Source organism: Homo sapiens, chromosome 8, assembly GCF_000001405.40.
Source record: "Homo sapiens chromosome 8, GRCh38.p14 Primary Assembly".
In the NCBI taxonomy this organism is placed as follows: domain Eukaryota; kingdom Metazoa; phylum Chordata; class Mammalia; order Primates; family Hominidae; genus Homo; species Homo sapiens.
Window position 1 is genome coordinate 7667128 of NC_000008.11, and position 21036 is coordinate 7688163.

Here is a 21036-nt window from a genome sequence, read left to right on the forward strand (position 1 = left end):
GAATTCCAGCCAGGCGTGGTGGCTCATGCCTGTAATCCCAGCACTTTGGGGGCCGAGGTGGATCACCTGAGGTCAGGAGTTCAAGACCAACCTGGCCAACATGGTGAAACTCCCTCTCTACTAAAAATACAAAAAAAAAAAAAAAAAATAGCTGGGTGTGGTTGTGGGTGCCTGCAGTCCCAGCTACTCAGGAGGCTGAGGCAGGAGAATCGCTTGAACCAAGGAGGCAGAGACTGCAGTGAACTGAGATTGCACCATTGCACTCCAGCCTGGGCAACAAAAGTGAATCTCCGTCTCAAAAAAGAAAAAAAAAAAAATGACACCGAATTTGCTAAAGGGGGAGAAAGGGCTTTCTTCCAAAGCTGGGCCTGGTTTCTACAGAGAGTCTTTCACATGAAAATTAGGCAGCTCTTTGCAAGCACCTCAGAGGAGAACCCCTCACCCTGATGAATCAGGCACAGGGGCAGATCCAAGACAACTGGCTGCGTGCATATGAACAAGTCTATGGTGGAAATGCAGTGCTTTATTTGTTTGTGGTGGTTTAATCACCAGGAGGGAGAAGCTTCTAAAGCAGCATTCAGAGGTGGCTGTTGCCTGGGTTTTCTGGAAGGGGGAGGCGGTGAGGATGAGGGCTTCCCTTTCATCTGCAGGCCCCTTGCAGAAGGAGCTGGGGAAAGCTTTGCAACCCTCTGCACACTGTTTGCCATCTTGTCTGGCTGGGACGCCGAGCTCCAGATGGGGGCAGATGGGATAGCTCTTGCCACCGTATTTGGAGAGAGATGGCAGGGAAGTCAGCCCCCGTGGAGAAGACAGGAGCAGGCACGTGCTGGACAGTGCTGCCCAGGCCCCTGGGGCTGAAGTGTCCAACCCCACAGCCTCTAGGTGCCACTAAAGCAGCCCAAGAGGACCTTCTCTGTCCATCTCCATCCTGGCACCTACAGACACTTGGAGAGAGTCCTTCACATGGGAACTCACAAATGCACACTGATAACCCCCACACGGAACTCTCATACGTAGCAAGTGAAAAGACAGGATGCCAGCTTAACTTGAATTTCAGATAAACAACAAATCATTTTTTAGGGTAAGCAGGTCCCAAATATTACATGGGATATATTTGCACCAAAAAAAAAAAAAAAAAAAAAAAAGGTTAATGAGAAGTTCAGGTTTAATTGGACCTCCTGTATTTTACCTGGCAAGCCTAACCCTGCATAAACACAACCTCGAGCTTGAAACTCACAGAGAAGCCACGGCCGTGCTCACACACGTGCACAAACCCATATGCCTTACAGAGTCAAGGGCTGTGATGAGGGTCCCCACCCTTGCACACTTCTCTGTCCTCTGTCTGGGCTCAGAGTAAACAGGGGGTCACCTGGAATCCACGTCTAAGCTGGGCTTGGAGGTGTCCTAATGAAGCAGGATGCTGACATGCACTTCCCCAGGTCAGCTGGGACTGTAGCCAGGCCTAGCTTCCAGTCTCGGGCCTAGAACACACAGCACAGCCCCAGACCTTGGCAAGAAGGCTTCATCTCAAGGGCCACTGGTGCAGGAACTATTAGAAGCCCCACTTCTTTCCTCTGTTTCTGCTGCCATTGCCCCAGTCTCTGACCCTGCCACTCAATCACTCTATAAACACAGCAGGTACTAGGGGTGGCTCTGGGCTCAGCACTAAAGACACTGACCCTGGTAAAGCCACAGTCTAGCAATGACAGTCAACCACGTATCAGCAACAGCCCTGCCCCACACGTGCTGACTGCGCACAAGGCCGGCGCTGTGAACGTGCTCTCAACAGTGATCTCACTGAACCCTCATGGCAGCTCTAGGATGCAGACAGTAGCATCACATTATCCCCATTTTACTTTTGAGGAAACTGAGGCCTGAAGAAGGCAAATGCAGGCCTCGAGATTTGCAGTAACATTGCCAGGAATGTTTGAGAAAGCAAACTTCTCCAGAGTGAGGCAGTCTGCCAGAGCTCAGAAGCCAGAGTCCCTGTTAGCAGGGGCTGGGGGCACTGTGGGGTGAGGGCAGACAAGTGGGTAGGGGCTGGAACCCCCAGGACACCAGGGTGCAGACTGGTGTGAGTAAAAGAAAGAGGGGCTGTCATGCCATCATCTGCAGAAGATGATGTCTACAGAGGACAGTACCATGTGAGCCCTTGGGGAGGTGGATGACTGGATGGAATTTTGCACAGGATGCAAATTGAGCACAGATCCCCCTCTGACCTAGACAGCCCACTTCCAGGAACATCTCACAGAAATGCAGGCACAGAGCACCAAGTGATGTGTGTAAGGAAATTCATCAGAACACCGTCTGTGACTGGGAAAAGGCGGAAACCATCCAAAGACGTATCGGTGCAGGGCTGGTTAAACGAAGCGTGGTGCATCCACAGGTCAGAATAACTGCTGGGAGAAGAAGGTGGTACCCAGGTTCCAACGTGAGACAATGTCAAAGACATGCTGCCTGAAAAGCAGGCTTTCCAAAGAATAAATATAGCATTATTTCATTTTTACTTTTTTAAAAATATTACAATAAACACTTATGTGCAAATACATGTGCTTGTGTGCACAGAGGAAAAAGCTGTGGACAGAAACAGAAAACCAAACACGGTGTGCTCTCACTCATAAGTGGGAGTTGAACAATGAGAACACATGGACACAGGGAGGGGAACATCACACACCGGGGCCCATCGGGGGTGGGGGACAAGGCGAGGGAGAGCGTTAGGACAAATACCTAATGCATGTGGGGCTTAAAACCTAGTTGACGGGTTGATAGATGCAGCAAACCACCATGGCACATGTATATCTATGTAACAAACCTGCACATTCTGCACATGTATCTCAGAACGTAGAATAAAAAATAAAAAGAAATCAAAGAAAAAGGTGGGGAGAGGTATAACCCAACCCTTCCCAGTGTTACCTCTGAGATGCAAGAACAAGAAAAGCAAATCAAGAGGTAGTTTTGCTTTCTGTTTTCTATATAAATTTTTTTTTTTTTTTTTTTTTTTTCTGGAGACATAGTCTCGCTCTATTGCCCAGTCTGGAGTCCAGGGACACAATCTCGGCTCACTGCAACCTCCTCCTCACCACAACCTCCTCCTCACTACAACCTCCTCCTCAGTGCAACCTCCTCCTCACTGCGACCTCCTCCTCACTGCGACCTCCTCCTCACTGCGACCTCCTCCTCACTGCAACCTCCTACTCATTGCAACCTGCTCCTCACTACAACCTCCTCCTCACTGCAACCTCCTCCTCACTGCAACCTGCTCCTCACTACAACCTCCTCCTCACTGCAACCTCCTCCTTACTGCGACCTCCTCCTCACTGCAACCTCCTCCTTACTGCGACCTCCTCCTCACTGCAACCTCCTCCTCACTGCAACCTGCTCTTCACTACAACCTCCTCCTCACTGCAACCTCCTCCTCATTGCAACCTGCTCCTCACTGCAACCTGCTCCTTCTGGGTTCAAGGGATTCTCTTGCCTCAGCCTCCCAAATAACTAGGATTACAGGCATGCACCACCAAGCCCGACTAACTTTTGTATTTTTTGTAGATACAGGGTTTCACTATTTTGGCCACCTGGTCTCAAACTCCTGGCCTGCCCACCTTAGCCTCCAAAAGTCCTGGGATTACAGGTGTGAGCCACCACGTCTGGCCTGCATTGCTTGAATTCTCAGACCACATGGACCCTCTCATCTGGTCCAATTGCAAGAGTCCAAGGCAGGAAAGGCAGAAGGCAGGGGCTTACCCCTCCATCAGGACAACATAGAACAGAGTCAAAAAAGGAAAACATGAATGGATCAGTCAAGAGGGCCGTGCACATGCCCTCCCAGGCACCTACATCTTGCAACTTAAGCCGACAGCCTTTCAAGCCACAGAGTCTTCCTCCCCAGAGACTAGCAAGGACACAAGCCCTGGCCAGGCCCTTCCAGGAAGATGTTCTGAGGGACAAGGTGGGGGGCACAGTCAGGGGTGGCAGGAGGAAAGGGGGACACGAAGCCAAGGAAACCAGGGCACCCCATGCTTCCTGAAGGCAACTAGAACAGGGCGCCACACAGAGCCCCTGTGTACCTGTTTCTACAACAGCCTGAATACAAGGAAAAGGAAAACAAGGAAAATACACAAAGCCCAGCCTCACCAGGAGCAGGTTAAATAAAGGTGTGTGAATTTTCCTCATGTCCTTTGGAATTGGAAATCCAAGCTTCCTCTTCTGTGCCTTTAAGGTCCTGGCCGCTGCCGCACAGCTCCCTTCTCTTCCCTCCTCCTCCTGTCCTATTTTTTTTTTTTTTTTTTTTTGAGATGGAATCTTGCTCTGTTGCCCAGGCTGGAGTACAGTGGCACAATCTCAGCTCACTACAACCTCCACCTTCCGGGTTCAAGCAATTCTCGTGGCTCAGCTTCCCGAGTAGCTGGGATTATAGGTGTCACCATGTCTGGCTAATTATTGTATTTTTAGTAGAGACAGGTTTTCACCATATTGGCCAGTCTGGTCTCAAACTCCTGGCCTCAGGTGATCCGCCCACCTCGGCCTCCCAAAGTGCTGGGATTACAGATGTGAGCCACCATGCCCGACCCTCTTGTACTAACTCTGCCATCTCTTTGCAGTCTCCCCTGAGCAGCTTTTCCTGGGCCCGCACTGCCCCCCTCCAGAGCTGCACTCTCAAACCACGCCCCAATGCCCCCTGGCCCTGGCTCCTGCCCCGGGGCTCTGATCCTCAGCTGGTGAGGTCTAGAGTGTCAGAGGGAGCCAGACTCCTTAGAGAAGCTAAGGCGGGAGACCTGTGCTGGGCTGTGGTTAAACTGCTCCCTTCCAGCTGGGGCCGAATAGAAAGTGAAAGACTGCCCCCAGAATACAGGGCCCTCAGAGGCCCTGGGGATCTGTGCTGGCAGTCAGGAGGACTGTCACCTCAGTGCAGTTGCCTGCAAGGAGGGCTGTGCAGGAAGCTGCATGTTGCTCAGAGAACAAAAAAAGGAAATTAAATGCACCATCTCCTTATTAGCATGAGCTTTTGAGGCAGACACTTAAATATGCATGCCTAGACATTGTAAAACTTGGGGGAAATGTTAATTTCAATAACGCCACTTCTTGTGCTTGCAGAAACCATTCTTTTATCTCCCTTCCTAGTCATTTGTGGGCTCCATCCCTCAGAGTGGCAGCGCCAAGACAGCCGGCCTCACTGGGTTTTCTAAGCTGTGCAAGGTGAGATCCCAAGCCCTGGCCTCGAGACCCATCTTAGGAAAATGTTAGAACAGGGCAACAAGTTGCCATTTCCTCCCTCCTTTCTCTTCCCCATACAAAAATCAGAAAGCACCCTTGCCCAGTGCCCAGCCACAGTGAGGAAGAAACCCCACACAAAATCCTGGGTTGTGCCCCTGATACCAAAGACCTGCAAAATTGGGCCTCACCTGCTGCAACCTCAGCCCAGACTTGTGTACATTTCAAGGGTGGCTGGACTCATGGCCGCCTGGGACGTCAGAGTGGTACGAAGTCCTCTTAACCTAAGACTGTCGGGGTACAAGGATCAGCATTTTTTTCCTTTCTCTCCAGGGCCAGATGGTAAATAGTTCAGCTTTGCAGGCCATAGGTCTCTGTCCCAACTATTCAACTCTCCACTCTCCATTGTAGCAGGAAAGCAGCCACAGACAATAGGCACTGAAATGGGTGTGGCTGTGTTCCAATAAAACTTTATTTGTGTGAACAGGCAGGGGGCTGGTTCTGGCCTGTGGGCTATAGCCTGCCTCCTCTGCTACAGGGTGATCTCCAAGGACCCATCCATCTTGTAGACCAGCAGCTGGCACACAGGAGCTGCTCAGATACTTGAAGGAGGAATGGAGAAGGCAAACAGCCCCCAGTGTGCAGATGTGAGGGTCTCCCAGCGGCACCATCCTTTGCCATCTCATGCCAAGGGACAAAGCCAGAGCAGGGCTCTCCACCAAGGCTGGGTTCTCCTCCAAGGAAATGTGATAACAGGACAGAAAGCATCGTGGAAGGATAGGGGCTTTGGAGTCCCACAAACCACAGTTTGCAAGACCAGGAGCATCCTGCACTTCCTTGCACACATCCTGCGTGGGTACTGGAGCATCTAGACTTAGAGTGAATCTTCTCCCCATCCTCCCCCAACTGGCCTCCATTAAACTTCCAGCAACAATGTGGTGTATGTACACAATGGAATACTATTCAGCCTTCAAAAAGAAGGAAATCCTGCCATTTGAGACAACATGGATGAGCCTGGAGGATATTATGTTAAGTGAAATAAGCCAGGCACAGAACGACAAATACCACATGATCTCACTTACATGTGGAATCTAAAAAAGTTGAACTCGGCCAGGCATGGTGGCTCACGCCTGTAATCCCAGCACTTTGGGAGGCTGAGACCAGAGGATTGCTTGAGCCCAGGAGTTCGAGACCAGCCTGCATAACATAGCAATACCCCATCTCTACAAAAAATACAAAAATTAGTGGAGCATGGTAGTGCATGCCTGTACTCCCAGATACTCAGGAGGCTGAGGTGGAAGGATTGATTGAACTTGGGACCTCAAGGCTGCAGTGAGCCATGATCACAACCCTGCACTACAGCCTGGGCAATAGAAGGAGATTTTCTCAAAAAAAAGAAAAAAAAAAAAGAGAAGAAAAAAGTTGAATTCACAGAAGCAGAGTAGAATGATGGTTGCCAGGGTGGGGAAGTGGGCAGATGCCAAAGGACACAGAATGTCATTTTTAGAGAAGAATAAGTTCAGGAGATCCATGGGACAACAAGGTACCTATAGTTAATAACAACATATCATATACTTGGAAATCACTAAGAGAGTAGATTGTTTAAGTGTTCTCACCCCAAAAAGTAAGTCTGGGAGGTGATATGTTATTTAGCTTGATTTAGCCATTTCATAATGTATACATACCTCAATCACATCATGTTGTATACCCTCTTGTACATAATTTTTGCCAATTCAATAAATTCAACAACTCCAAAAAACAAGACATTCTCTTTACAAAAATAATTGTTAAAAATAAAATTCAGAATTCTATTTTATTTATTTATTTATTTTTGAAACAGAGTCTCGCTCTGTCACCCAGGCTGGCTGAAGTACAGTGGTTCCATCTCGGCTGACTGCAACCTCTGTCTCCCAGGTGCAAACGATTCTCCTGCCTCAGCCTCCCAAGTAGCTGGGATTGCAGGTGTGTGCCATCACACCTGGCTAATTTCTGTATTTTTAGTAGAGACAGTTTTGCCATGTTGACCAGGCTGGTCTCGAACTCCTGACCTTAGGTGATCCGCCAGCCTCGGCCTCCCAAAGTGCTGGGATTACAGGTGTGAACCACTGCACCTGGACAGAATATAAAAGATTGTTTAATTCAACTAAAACATTAAAACACAGATTATTTCTATAAGTGGTAATTGTTCTAACATGTTTTGGTCAAAATAGTCTCCTTACTTATCCACAATTAAATGGTTAATTGATATTTGATTGGATTTTTATAAAGTTTTCAAATCATGATTGACTTTTCCAATGTACAGTAAAATGTGTTTGAAAATATTGCATAAAAATTAATATTTAAAAATGGTCAGGCATGGTGGCTCATGCCTGTAATCCCAGCACTTTGGGAGGCCAAGGTGGGCCGATCACTTGAGGTCAGGAGTTTGAGACCAGCCTGGTCAAACCTCATCTCTACTAAGAATACAAAAGTTAGTCAGGCATGGTGGCACGCACCTGCATTCCCAGCTACTTGGGAAACTGAGGCAGGAGAATCGCTTGAACCTGGGAGGTGGGCTCCCCAGGCTTAAAGCAAAACCCCCATCTTGTCTGTCTCCACTCTCATCCCAGGCAATCGCCGTCATTTCCACAGCCTCAACCACTGTCTACCTGGGATGCCTCCCAAGCCCGGGTCGCCAGCCCAAACCTGCCTTCCTAGCCCCAGACCCATCTGTCCTGGCACACATTGCCCCCTGGGTCCCCAGCAACCTCAGCCAATGAGACCAATGCCAACTTCCTGTCCTTGCCTGACACTGTCAGCCCTGAGATCAGACTTGACCATTCACCTCCAGTACCTGATAGGTCCGTCAGTCCTTTGGAACATATCCCACGAACATTCCCCAAACCAGGCACCGGACTCCACACATCAACACCGTCACGTGAGTCACCAGCATCCCTGGCAGGGACCCCTGTCCCAGCCTGCAACTCATCTCCTTCCTGTCCCTTGAGTTCTGTGTCACATTCCAGAGGCCACAAGAAGAAAAATGACCACCTTAATGAAATTAAAAGAATTGAGAAGACATTTCTCTATGGTCCAAAATCTTTCCAACTGAGAAACACATATCAAGATCCAGCCTGCTGGCCCTGTGGTTAAATGTTCCTGAAATAATTAAAGCCCAGGGCAACACAGCCCCCACTCCACAAGTACTCCCAGCACAGTAAGACTTGCTTCTCTACAGGGGCTTGAAATGTCCAGTGTGTACCCTGCCCCTCTCTGTCGTAGCTAACAGGAATGTGCTCCGTGTCTTCTTCCTGCTCAAAGGACCGTCCACCAACCTGCGCAGGCAGCACTTTCGGCAAGGGGAGGATGGGAGAACATCCTACCATTTCCCACTTACTCACTGCATTCATCAGGAGCCTGCCTCACAAATTACAAGAGCGCCACGGCAGACCCACGATGTTCCAGCGGGTGGCCATGTCTTCATGTCAACTTGAAAGATCATCGCCAGGGAAATATCTATATCTCGGCAGAGAACTTCAGCCTGTGTAGTCCAGCTGTGCTCAAATGGAAATCCAAAAACCCAGATGTTGGTCAAAACACCCTGTCTCAGGGAGCTGGCTCTGCAGGTCCCCAGTGTGAGAGTGAACTGGGTGGGCCACCTGACCTGTCTACCCACATCCCGGCCTCCTGGAATCCTGGACCCTGAGAACCAGGGGGATGTGGTGGGGAGCAGGCAAGTCTTGTGCAGAAAGCCAAGATGCCACCCAAATCCACTCTGCAGTCTAGGAGGGCGATATTCTGGTCTGCACCACACCAGTGCACGAGGGGATGGAGGATGGAGTCTAGACAAGCCAAATGTAAAAATATATTGTCCAAGTATTTTGTGCTTTGTCTGTGTTACAATGCAATGACAAGCCCAGTGTGCTGGCTCACACCTGTGATCTCAGCAACTTGGGAGGCCGAGGCAGGTGGATCACCTGAGGTCAGAAGTTTGAGATCAGCCTGCCCAACATGGTGAAACCCCATCTCTACTAAAAATACAAAAATTAGCCAGGTGTGGTGGTGGGCACCTGTAATCCCAGCTACTCTGGAGGCTGAGGCAGGAGAATCACTTGAGCCCAGGACGTGGAGGTTGCAGTGAGCAGAGATCATGCCACTGTACTCCAGCCTGGGTAACAGAGTAAGACTCTGTCTTAAAAAAAAATTAAATAAATAAAGGCTATGCCCAGTATTTTCCATGTACTGTCTTATTATCTCAGTAAATCCCATATAACTTTCCTATGAAAGTGTATCTCATTTATCTCCATTTTATAGATGAGAAAACTGAGGCCCCTGGAGTAGTATTAATTTTCCAAGACCGCATTGCTCATAAAGGGTACAGCAGGGACCCAAGCTCGACACTCTCACCCTCAAACATTTCCACAAGTGTAGACCAATGGCTCTCAACTGGGGTGGTTTTGCTCACGTACCACTCCCTTGCCCCACAGCATTGAAACCATCTGGAGACATCTGGGGTAGCCATAGCTGGGAGGGTAGAATGGCACCTAGAGGATGGAGACCACAGATGCTGCTAACCGTCCTACAATACACAGGATGCCCCCCCACCACCACCACGAATGGTCTCACCCCAAATGTTGTGACTGTGCCAAAGCTGAGAAATCCAGGTTTCTCCTCAGCAAGAAGGAAAATACCTGCAACGTGGATGCACCTCTACAGGAGCCTCAGGCTGACAATAACCTTCCTGATCTGGTTTCAACCCTGGATGCTTTTACCTGGTGCGTCCATCAGGGATTTCAGGGACTCCAGTGAGTTATCACCCTCGAATGCTCGGTTCTGCCTGACAACCCAGAAATCTCTGCCAAGGTGCCTGGTCTTGGGGAAGGCTCAGCAAGCAGTTGAGGTTGACAACCAAATACCTAGGAGAGACTTTTCTCTGTCTCCAGAAGGAGCTGTGGGTCAGACACACCCTGAGATCATTCACAAGCGGTCAATAAAGGCTTGGGGAGGGGCAGATTTTCTAGGCCTTCTCAATGGGGTGGGTGTTTGTGGATACACAAGAAGCCTGTGAAACTTCTGATATTGGCAGGAAATCAATGCCCCCATCCTCCACCCCCACCCCCACCTCCCCACCATAAACACATGCCCTGCAGCAGGACTTGACACTCAGGGGCTCCTGGGGTCCCGATTTATCTGCTAAAACCTCCTCTAGCCACCACCGAATAAAGCAACCCCTTGCGACCCAACCACAAGAGCACTGCCTGGAAGCAACTCCAAGGGACACCAAGTCACATTAAAACCTCAGCCATACAGAGCACCAGGCCTGGTGATGAGAAAGAACATTTTATCCTTAAAAGCATCTGAATGCCCATGCTGCTTCTTGCAGAGAAAAGTCCAAAATAATCTGTTATTAAAGAACGAGGATGGTTTTGACATTTTTACCAAGCTAGTGGTCTACGCAGACAAAATCTCATAAAAGGGCACTCTGTTCTTCTTGATCCACTCAGACATGGCCTGTGAGTGAAGAAACGGGCTCTCCTCCTCAAAGAAATCACTGCTGATCCTCGTACCAGCCTGACACTGCTTCATGGGTTCTTCAAAGAGAGTATTCCCATAGGAACTAAAAGGGAAGAGGAATGTGTCTGGCGGGCATTGTGGGCAGCAGCGAGCTTTGGGCCAAATTTTAAGTTTGAAAATCAAGATTCCCTCTTTTCAAGGGGCTGCCGGACTGAGCAGATACAGGCACCATGAAAAGAGGGTGCCATGTTCAGATTCAGGAAACAAGGATGGTTTCTATTCAGTTCATCCATCATCCTTCAGGTCATGCTATTCCCATTTCCCTCTGTGGACCAAAAAATTCAGCGGGGTTTCTGCCTTTTAAACATTTCATTATCAACATATCATCCTTTTAGCCTCCAGAAAGCATTTTAACATGGAGATTCTGGCTTAAGACTCTTGTGGGTCTGTCTGTCTCTCTCTCTCTTTTCCTTGAAACGGTCTCACTTTGTCACCCAGGCTGAAGTGCAGTGGCGTGATCACAGCTCACTGCAACCCAACCTTCCAGGCTCTAGCAATCCTCCCACCTCAGCCTCCCAAGTACTTGGGACTGCAGGCACACACCACCATAACTGCCTTTTTTTTTTTTTTTTTTTTTTTTTGGTAGATATGAGGCTTCACCATGTTGCCCAGGCTGGTCTTAAACTCCTGGGCTCAAGCGATCCTCCCCCTTCGGCCTCTCAAAGTGCTGGGATTATTGGCTTCAGCCACCATGCCCAGCCAAGGACCTTGTCTCTTGTGAAGTACTCCAGAACAAAACATCACTGCAAAAACACATCAGGGCATGAGTTTTAGTCTTAAGTCCCACTTATCCACCATACACTATGTGCCAGGCACAACGCTAAGTGCTTCTATGGACGAGCTTCCCTTAATCTCAGCAGCAACAACCCCAGGCAATGGAGCCTGTTGACAGATCCATTTGCCACTGAAGACAGTAAGGCTCAGACAGGGTAAGTGGCTTGTGCCATGTCAGCCAGCTAAGGAGGGGCAGAACCAGGATGCAAACCCCAGCCGCCTGGCTCCAGAATCGCGTTCCCAAGGTCTCACTACACTTGGTCACTCCACCGCATTCCGGTATCCTGGTCTTTGGCAGAGTCCACGTAAAAGAGGGAGGTAGAGGGAGTGAGAGGGACTTCATGCAATAAAGTTTCCCGGCGTTACACTGCCACCGTAATTGTGTCCCCAACCAGGACCTCTCCCTTCTCATCCTTTCCGTGATCGGCCCTGGAAAACCTTCCAAAGAACTGTCCTCCTTCTCCCGGGATCTCAGAGAAAATTCACCTGAGTTCAGTGTCCAGGTGACCCAAGCTCTGAATGCGGTAACGTGGACGGGGAGAAGAGGATGTCACCATGAGCAAGCCTCCCAGACAGCATCCAGGAGCAACCCCAAGACTGGGCGGGGGGGCTCTGATGCCGCCCACGGCGAGGAGGGCTGCCCATGCTGCCTAAATGGGTTCAGAATGAAGACCGCCCTCTCTCCCATGTGGGGCTCATTAACCACGAATCCAATTATTAAGACAAGCTCAGCTGAGCAAATGGTCAAACATAAAAACATGTGGAAGGAACAAAGAGGTCAACCCCATTATCCATTAAAAACCATCAAGGTGGCGGCCCTCACTGAGGGGTACAGTTCTCCAGCGGGCCCTCATCTGCCCTCCAAACCCACATGCCTCCCCAGTGGAAGGCCAGCAAAGCCACACAGGAAGAGTTGGGGTAGGAAAGCAGAAAGTGAACCCCAGGAGGCCAGCCTGGCTACGCAGCCCCATCCCACACACACTGGCCCGGTGATTCAGGGGCCAACGTTTGCAGGACACCGGGAGCTCACAGGGACAGCGCCCCGGGGATGCAAGGAACTTTGCCTCTCTGTCCTTCTCTGTAGGGATGGAAAGAGGAGAGCGATTTCTGGGATGGAAGCCATCTGCCTCCTCTCAACTCTTGCTGCCCAACCAGAAAGGGAAGAAAAACAGGAAGATGCGGGACAGGTGAGGAGCTGGGTGAGCGCCGCCAGCCCGCAGTCCAGCCAAGCAGGGCTTGGCCAAGCCTGGCGCCAGGGACTTCCCCCCTACCCCCACCACTGGCCCCTCGCCAGGTGAGAGGCACCAACAGGGTCCCAGACAGATGCCCCAGACAGGATGCCCAGCGCAACACCCGCCACTTCCCCTGCTAGGGGCCCCCAGGACGCGGGGCTGCCCCTCTCTTTTTGGCCAGCCGCAGAGTCCAGTGGGTCTCCCAGCCAGCGACGTCGTGGGAGAATCAGGAAGTCAAAGCCACACAGCCGAGAAGCGGCAGCTGGCGTCTCGGAGGCCGTCACGCGCTGTCACTCCGCGCCCTTCGGAGTTGCCGCTAAAATACCAACTTCAACCCGGGGCCGGCCACGGAGCCTCCCGCCGCCCCTACCGGCGCCCCCGGCACCCCCGGACCCCAGCGCCCGCGTCACTTACTCCTCTGCGGTCGCCACCTGTCTGGGTGCCGGTCTCCTCCCTGCCTGGCCGCGGCGCGTCCTCCCCGTTCTCGCAGTCCTCGGGCTGTGCGCTTCCCCCCTCCAGCTACAGCCCCAGCCTCTTCTCTTCGGGAGGGACGTCGTCCTCCTCCCTCCTGGGCCGGCCATCCCTGCCTCGGGGCTTGCCAGTGGCTTCGGAGCTGCCGGAAGGGCTGGCCATGGCTCGGGGGCTCTGCCTGCACCTGGAGAAGAGGAAGGACACGGCCCGAGCGGCCTCTCGGTGGAGCTGGGGCGTCTGAGCGCGGGCTCGGTGGGTCCGCGCGGCGCGGAGCTGGGTATAGGGGCCGGCGCGGGCTCCTCCGCGGGCCGCGCCTGGCTCTCTGGCGCCCTCTTCTGGCCGCTCTCGCGCACCTCCGCCACGCCGGGCCCAGGCCTGCGCAGCTCTCACATGTCCTGGCCCAGGAGGTCGCTGTCCCTTGCCCATGGACAGGCCCGCTCTGGCAATGCCCTGCACCTCCTCCCCGCCCCGGCCAGGTTGCACCCCGATGGTCTCCCTGCTCAAGGAGGAGAGAAGAGAAGGGACGCCACTAGAGGGTGGACATCGGCCACAGCCACCTTGTCTTTGCTCTTACCCTGTGTCTTCCAAGATTTGGAGGTGGTGGGAAACCCGAGGCTGCTCAAAACTCGTGGAGAATTCCTCCTGCAGGATGACATGAATGCACCTTCCCATTGCCTACCAACAGATCTTTTTTGAGCATCACTGTGGACCAGTCGTGGTGATGGGGGAGGGGATATTGTGGAGAACATGACAGGCATTGCCTTCACCCAGTGGGGCTCAGCTCTGGGTGGGAAGGCATTGAGAATGGACATTGTCAACTGGGCCAAAGGAGGCCAAGGAGAAGTGCTGGGGGCATGGGAACTGAAAAAGAGAGGAGGCTCAGCACGTCTTTGAGCTGGGAGAGGGACAGCAGCAGCGGCTTTTCCAAAGGAAGCAACAGCTGAGAGAGGTCTCAGAGAGTTGTTCTCAGCCCAGTGGAGGGTGTTCAGGCAGAGGGAACAGCGTGTGCAAAAGCCCAGAGGCTGGGAAAGAAGCAGAAAGAGGACTGTGGGGCTGGAGCATGGTGGGCAAGGGGAGGAAGGTGTGGTGGGCAGACAGATTGCCTGGGACCCAGCCGTGCAGGGGCAGAGGAGATACGGGATCCTTGCAGGCCCCCAGCCGGGGCTCAGGCACAGAGACAGTGCAGGTGGGCAAAGGGAGGAGACGTGGAGAAATATTTTGGAGGCATGCCCTGATGAATGAGCCCAGGATGCACCCTTAGTGTCAGTGTGGAGCTCCTTCCTTGACTGTGTGATGAGCTGAACTCGGGGGTATTTTCTGGACATTGAGGTGCTACACCAAGAGCCCAGGACAGGCTAAGTGAGCACTAGCAGCTCCTGGCCCACCTCAAAAGCAGGAGAGACAGGGGAGACTGAGGAGGCCGGGGCGGAAGGGGAAGCCAGGAAGGTAGGAGAGGCCAGGGAAGCAGAGGAGGCCCGGGAGGCAATGGAGGCAGGAGAGGCTGGGGAGGTTATGTCCTTTCCATGATTCTGCCCTCGATCCTAGGCCCCTGAACTCCCTGAGCTTCCCCACCCCAAGCGCTGGAACCATGTTGCACAATGGTCTCCCCACTAAGCTCCTGATGGCAGCCCCTACCCTGCTGTGCTCCCTGTTTCAACCCTAACAGCTCTCACAGTGGGCAGCACATAGTAGGTGCTGAGGAAACACTGGTGGGAGAGCACGTGGGTCTGCTCAGCACCTTCCTCTCTCCTCCAGCTCTCCCCTGTCACGAAATAATTCTGATAACGACACATGGACTTTGAGACCCTCTTCTATTACTTTCCATATGCTAATCCATCTATACCTCACAGCAGCCCTGGGGGTGGGTGCAATGAGGATGCCCATTTTATAGAGGAGGAGACTGAGGTATAAAGAGGGTAAGTGACATACGCACACTACAGGGGCTGGGGTCAAGTGATCAGAGCACTCAATCCCCAAAGGCAAGGTGGATGCAGTTACCATAAAAGACAGCAGAGTCAAAGCTGTAACCAGAATAGACTGACTCGCAGCGACCTATGGTGCCTGTTGATCCTGGCTTTCCTAGAAGTGAAATAGATAAGAAGCCTGCCACATTTTTACTGGAACTGTGTTTGCAGAAGTGTTCTAGGTCAAGTGAGCAGAAGTCTAATCTGATTAATAAAAACAGAGTCACAGTCCCCGGTCAATTTCCAGACATAAGCCAGTTCACAGACCTGGAGTCCCTTGTGTGAATGGGAAGCCAGGTCCCCTCCAGAAAGGACTCTGCTACACTGCCAAAAATTTATACTGTCAATCTTTCTCCCAGCCTGCCCCCAAGGGAATAAACAGCCTTTTGCTAGGATGACTGAACAGGAGAAAAGGAACTAATGGGACCTGTGCAGGATCACTGGACACAGGCTCTGAACTGGCACTAGGATGAGACTAGGGTCTACCAGTCAGAATAGGCATTTTGAAGGTCAGGTGAATGTTGGTGCAAGTTCATGACACGGTAGGTCCATTGGGTCCCCAAATCCATCCTCTGGTTATATACAAAGCGGCAATGCTGAGATTCAAATTCAGGGCATCCAACATAGAGGCTGGGCTCTTACTCATGAAACATTCTGACACTAGTAACCAATTTAAAAATGTAAACACCTCCTGGGGCTAGTGAGAGTCCTCCAAACAGTCATGTAAATTGGTTCTGTCAAGGATTTCCCCCCACCCACTGCTGAGAGCCAGTTGCAAGGAGAGACTAGGGAAGGGCATTGGGTAACTTTGTTGCTAAAAGCTCTTCTGGATAAAGACATTTGGGAAAAGAAGCAAATAGAGTTCAGCAGAAGAGGTAAGAAAGTAAGTTTATGTTTGGCCAGGCACGGTGGCTCACGCCTGTAATCCCAGCACTTGGGAAGGCCGAGGCGGGCAGATCACGAGGTCAAGAGATCGGACTATCCTGGCTAACATGGTGAAGCTCCATCTCTACTAAAAATTCAAAAATTAGATGGGCATGATAGCGCACGCCTGTAGTCCCAGTTACTCGGGAGCCTGAGGCAGGAGAATCACTTGAACCCAGGAGGTGGAGGTTGCAGTGAGCGGAGATCATGCCACTGCACTCCAACCTGGGCAACAGAGTAAGACTCTGTCTTAAAAAAAAATTAAAATAAATAAATGCTATGCCCAGCATTTTCCATGTACTGTCTTATTATCTCGGTGAATCCCATATAACCTTCCTATCAAAGTGTATCTCATTTATCTCCATTTTATAGATGAGAAAACTGAGGCCCCTGGAGTAGTATTAATTTTACAAGACCGCATTGCTCATAAAGGGTACAGCAGGGACCCAAGCTCGACACTCTCACCCTCAAACATTTCCACAAGTGTAGACCAATGGCTCTCAACTGGGGTGGTTTTGCTCACGTACCGCTCCCTTGCCCCACATTATTTGAAACCATCTGGAGACGTCTGGGGTAGCCATAGCAGGGAAGGTAGAATGGCACCTAGAGGATGGAGACCACAGATGCTGCTAACCATCCTTCAATACACAGGACAGCCCCACCACCAGCACCACGAATGGTCTCACCACAAATATTCTGACTGTGCCAAAGCTGAGAAACCCAGGTTTCTCCTCAGCAAAAAGGAAAATCCCTGCAACGTGGATGCACCTCTACAGGAGCCCCAGGCTGACAATAAGCTTCCTGATCTGGTTTCAACCCTGGATGCTTTTACCTGGTGCGTCCATCAGGGATTTCAGGGACTCCAGTGAGTTATCACCCTTGAATGCTCGGTTCTGCCTGACAACCCAGAAATCTCTGCCGAGGTGCCTGGTCTTGCGGAAGACTCAGCAAGTGGTTGAGGTGGACAACCAAATACCTAGGAGAGACTTTTCTCTCCCTCCAGGAGGAGCTGTGGGTCAGACACACACTGGGATCATTCACAAGCGGTCAATAAAGGCTTGAGGAGGGGCAGATTTTCTAGGCCTTCTCAATGGGGTGGGTGTTTGTGGATAAGCAAGAAGCCTGTGAAACTTCTGATATTGGGAGGAAATCAATGCCCCCATCCTCCCCCCTCCCCCACCTCCCCACCATAAACACATGCCCTGCAGCAGGACTTGACACTCAAGGGCTCCTGGGGTCCCGATTAATCTGCTAAAACATCCTCTAGCCACCACCGAATAAAGCAACCGCTTGCCACCCAACCACAAGAGCACAGCCTGGGAGCCACTCCAAGGGACATCCAGTCACATTAAAACCTCAGCCATCCAGAGCACCAGGCCTGGTGATGAGAAAGAACATTTTATCCTTAAAAGCATCTGAATGCCCATGCTGCTTCTTGCAGAGAAAAGTCCAAAATAATCTGTTATTAAAGAACGAGGATGGTTTTGACATTTTTACCAAGCTAGTGGTCTACGCAGACAAAATCTCATAAAAGGGCACTCTGTTCTTCTTGATCCACTCAGACATGGCCTGTGAGTGAAGAAACGGGCTCTCCTCCTCAAAGAAATCACTGCTGATCCTCGTACCAGCCTGACACTGCTTCATGGGTTCTTCAAAGAGAGTATTCCCATAGGAACTAAAAGGGAAGAGGAATGTGTCTGGCGGGCATTGTGGGCAGCAGCGAGCTTTGGGCCAAATTTTAAGTTTGAAAATCAAGATTCCCTCTTTTCAAGGGGCTGCCGGACTGAGCAGATACAGGCACCATGAAAAGAGGGTGCCATGTTCAGATTCAGGAAACAAGGATGGTTTCTATTCAGTTCATCCATCATCCTTCAGGTCATGCTATTCCCATTTCCCTCTGTGGACCAAAAAATTCAGCGGGGTTTCTGCCTTTTAAACATTTCATTATCAACATATCATCCTTTTAGCCTCCAGAAAGCATTTTAACATGGAGATTCTGGCTTAAGACTCTTGTGGGTCTGTCTGTCTCTCTCTCTCTTTTCCTTGAAACGGTCTCACTTTGTCACCCAGGCTGAAGTGCAGTGGCGTGATCACAGCTCACTGCAACCCAACCTTCCAGGCTCTAGCAATCCTCCCACCTCAGCCTCCCAAGTACTTGGGACTGCAGGCACACACCACCATAACTGCCTTTTTTTTTTTTTTTTTTTTTTTTTGGTAGATATGAGGCTTCACCATGTTGCCCAGGCTGGTCTTAAACTCCTGGGCTCAAGCGATCCTCCCCCTTCGGCCTCTCAAAGTGCTGGGATTATTGGCTTCAGCCACCATGCCCAGCCAAGGACCTTGTCTCTTGTGAAGTACTCCAGAACAAAACATCACTGCAAAAACACATCAGGGCATGAGTTTTAGTCTTAAGTCCCACTTATCCACCATACACTATGTGCCAGGCACAACGCTAAGTGCTTCTATGGACGAGCTTCCCTTAATCTCAGCAGCAACAACCCCAGGCAATGGAGCCTGTTGACAGATCCATTTGCCACTGAAGACAGTAAGGCTCAGACAGGGTAAGTGGCTTGTGCCATGTCAGCCAGCTAAGGAAGGGCAGAACCAGGATGCAAACCCCAGCCGCCTGGCTCCAGAATCGCATTCCCAAGGTCTCACTACACTTGGCCTCTCCACCGCATTCTGGTATCCTGGTCTTTGGCAGAGTCCACGTAAAAGAGGGAGGTAGAGGGAGTGAGAGGGACTTCATGCAATAAAGTTTCCCGGCGTTACACTGCCACCATAATTGTGTCCCCGACCAGGACCTCTCCCTTCTCATCCTTTCCGTGATCGGCCCTGGAAAACCTTCCAAAGAACTGTCCTCCTTCTCCCGGGATCTCAGAGAAAATTCACCTGAGTTCAGTGTCCAGGTGACCCAAGCTCTGAATGCGGTAACGTGGACGGGGAGATGAGGATGTCACCATGAGCAAGCCTCCCAGACAGCATCCAGGAGCAACCCCAAGACTGGGCGGGGGGGCTCTGATCCTGCCCATGGCGAGGAGGGCTGCCCATGCTGCCTAAATGGGTTCAGAATGAAGGCTGCACTCCCAACTTCAACCCGGGGACGGCCACGGAGCCTCCCGACGTCCCTTCGTCGCGTCCCCGGCACCCCCGCGCCCGCGTCACTTACTCCTTTGCCGTCGCCACCTGTCTGGGTGCCGGTCTCCTTCGTGCCCGGCAGCGGCGGGTCCTCCCTGTCCTCGCAGTCCTCGGGCTGTGCGCTTCCCCCCTCCAGCTACAGCCCCAGCCTCTTCTCTTCGGGAGGGACGTCCTCCTCCTCCTCCCTTCTGGGCCGGCCATCCCTGCCTCGGGGCTTGCCAGTGGCTTCGGAGCTGCTGGAAGGGCTGGCCATGGCTCCGGGGGCTCTGCCTGAACTTGGGGAAGAAGAAGGACACGGCGCGAGCGGCCTCTCGGCGGAGCTGGGGCGTCTGAGCACGGGCTCGGTGGGTCCGCGCGGCGCGGAGCTGGGTATCGGGGCCGGTGCGGGCTCCTCCGCGGGCGGCTCCTGGCACTCTGGCGCCCTCTTCTGGCCGCTCTCGCGCACCTCCGCCACGCCGGGCCCAGGCCTGCGTAGCTCTCACATGTCCTGGCCCAGGAGGTCGCTATCCCTTGCCCATGGACAGGCCCGCTCTGGCAATGCCCTGCACCTCCTCCCCGCCCCGGCCAGGTTGCACCCCGATGGTCTCCCTGCTCAAGGAGGAGAGAAGAGAAGGGACGCCACGAGAGGGTGGACATCGGCCAAAGCCACCTTGTCTTTGCTCTTACCCTGTGTCTTCCATGATTTGGAGGTGGTGGGAAACCCGAGGCTGCTCAAAACTCGTGGAGAATTCCTCCTGCAGGATGACATGAATGCACCTTCCCATTGCCTACCAACAGATCTTTTTTGAGCATCACTGTGGACCAGTCGTGGTGATGGGGGAGGGGATATTGTGGAGAACATGACAGGCATTGCCTTCACCCAGTGGGGCTCAGCTCTGGGTGGGAAGGCATTGAGAATGGACATTGTCAACTGGGCCAAAGGAGGCCAAGGAGAAGTGCTGGGGGCATGGGAACTGAAAAAGACAGGAGGCTCAGCACGTCTTTGAGCTGGGAGAGGGACAGAAGCAGCGGCTTTTCCAAAGGAAGCAACAGCTGAGAGAGGTCTCAGAGAGTTGTTCTCAGCCCAGTGGAGGGTGTTCAGGCAGAGGGAACAGCGTGTGCAAAAGCCCAGAGGCTGGGAAAGAAGCAGAAAGAGGACTGTGGGGCTGGAGCGTGGTGGGCAACAGGAGAGAGGTGTGGTGGGCAGACAGATTGTCTGAGACCCAGCCGTGCAGGGGCAGAGGAGATAGAGGATCCTTGCAGGCCCCCAGCTGGGGCTGACGCACAGAGACAATGCAGGTGGGCAAAGGGAGGAGACATGGAGAAATATTTTGGAGGCATGTCCTGATGAATGAGCCCAGGATGCACCCTTAGTGTCAGTGTGGAGCTCCTTTCTTGGCTGTGTGATAAGCTGAACCCGGGGGTATTTTCTGGACATCGAAGTGCTACACCCAGAGTCCAGGACAGACTAAGTGAGCACCAGCAGCTCCTGGCCCACCTCAAAAGCAGGAAAGACAGGGGAGACTGGGGAGGCCGGGGCGGAAGGGGAAGCCAGGAAGGCAGGAGAGGCCAGGGAAGAGAGGAGGTCAGGGAGGCAGGGGAGGCAGGGGAGGCTGGGGCGGCTGTGTCCTTTCCATGATTCTGCCCTGGATCCTAGGCCCCCGTACTCCCTGACCTTCCCCACCCCAAGCACTGTAACCATGTTGCACAACGGTTTCCCCACTAAGCTCCTAATGGCAGCTCCTATCCTGCTGTGCTCCCTATTTCAACCCTAACAGCTCTCACAGTGGGCA

The 21036-nt window shown here is 52.1% G+C and overlaps 1 long non-coding RNA gene and 1 pseudogene across 3 annotated transcripts; one reads left to right on the forward strand and one right to left on the reverse strand.

Moving 5' to 3' along the window:
• Positions 1-21036, forward strand: part of LOC124901865 (translation initiation factor IF-2-like) — a 451468-nt pseudogene that overhangs the window by 53404 nt on the left and 377028 nt on the right.
• On the reverse strand, positions 10321-19520 carry LOC101929400 (uncharacterized). 3 transcript variants are annotated; one of them, XR_005646962.1, is made up of 4 exons: positions 19296-19520; positions 13813-13880; positions 13182-13422; positions 10321-10804 (listed from the first exon to the last, which is right to left on the reverse strand). It is a non-coding gene; the product is annotated as an uncharacterized LOC101929400 (long non-coding RNA). The 3 variants fall into 3 exon arrangements; XR_005646963.2 differs by lacking the exon at positions 19296-19520 and adding an exon at positions 19019-19281; XR_005646961.1 differs by lacking the exon at positions 19296-19520 and having other exon boundaries at positions 10322-10804; positions 13813-15243.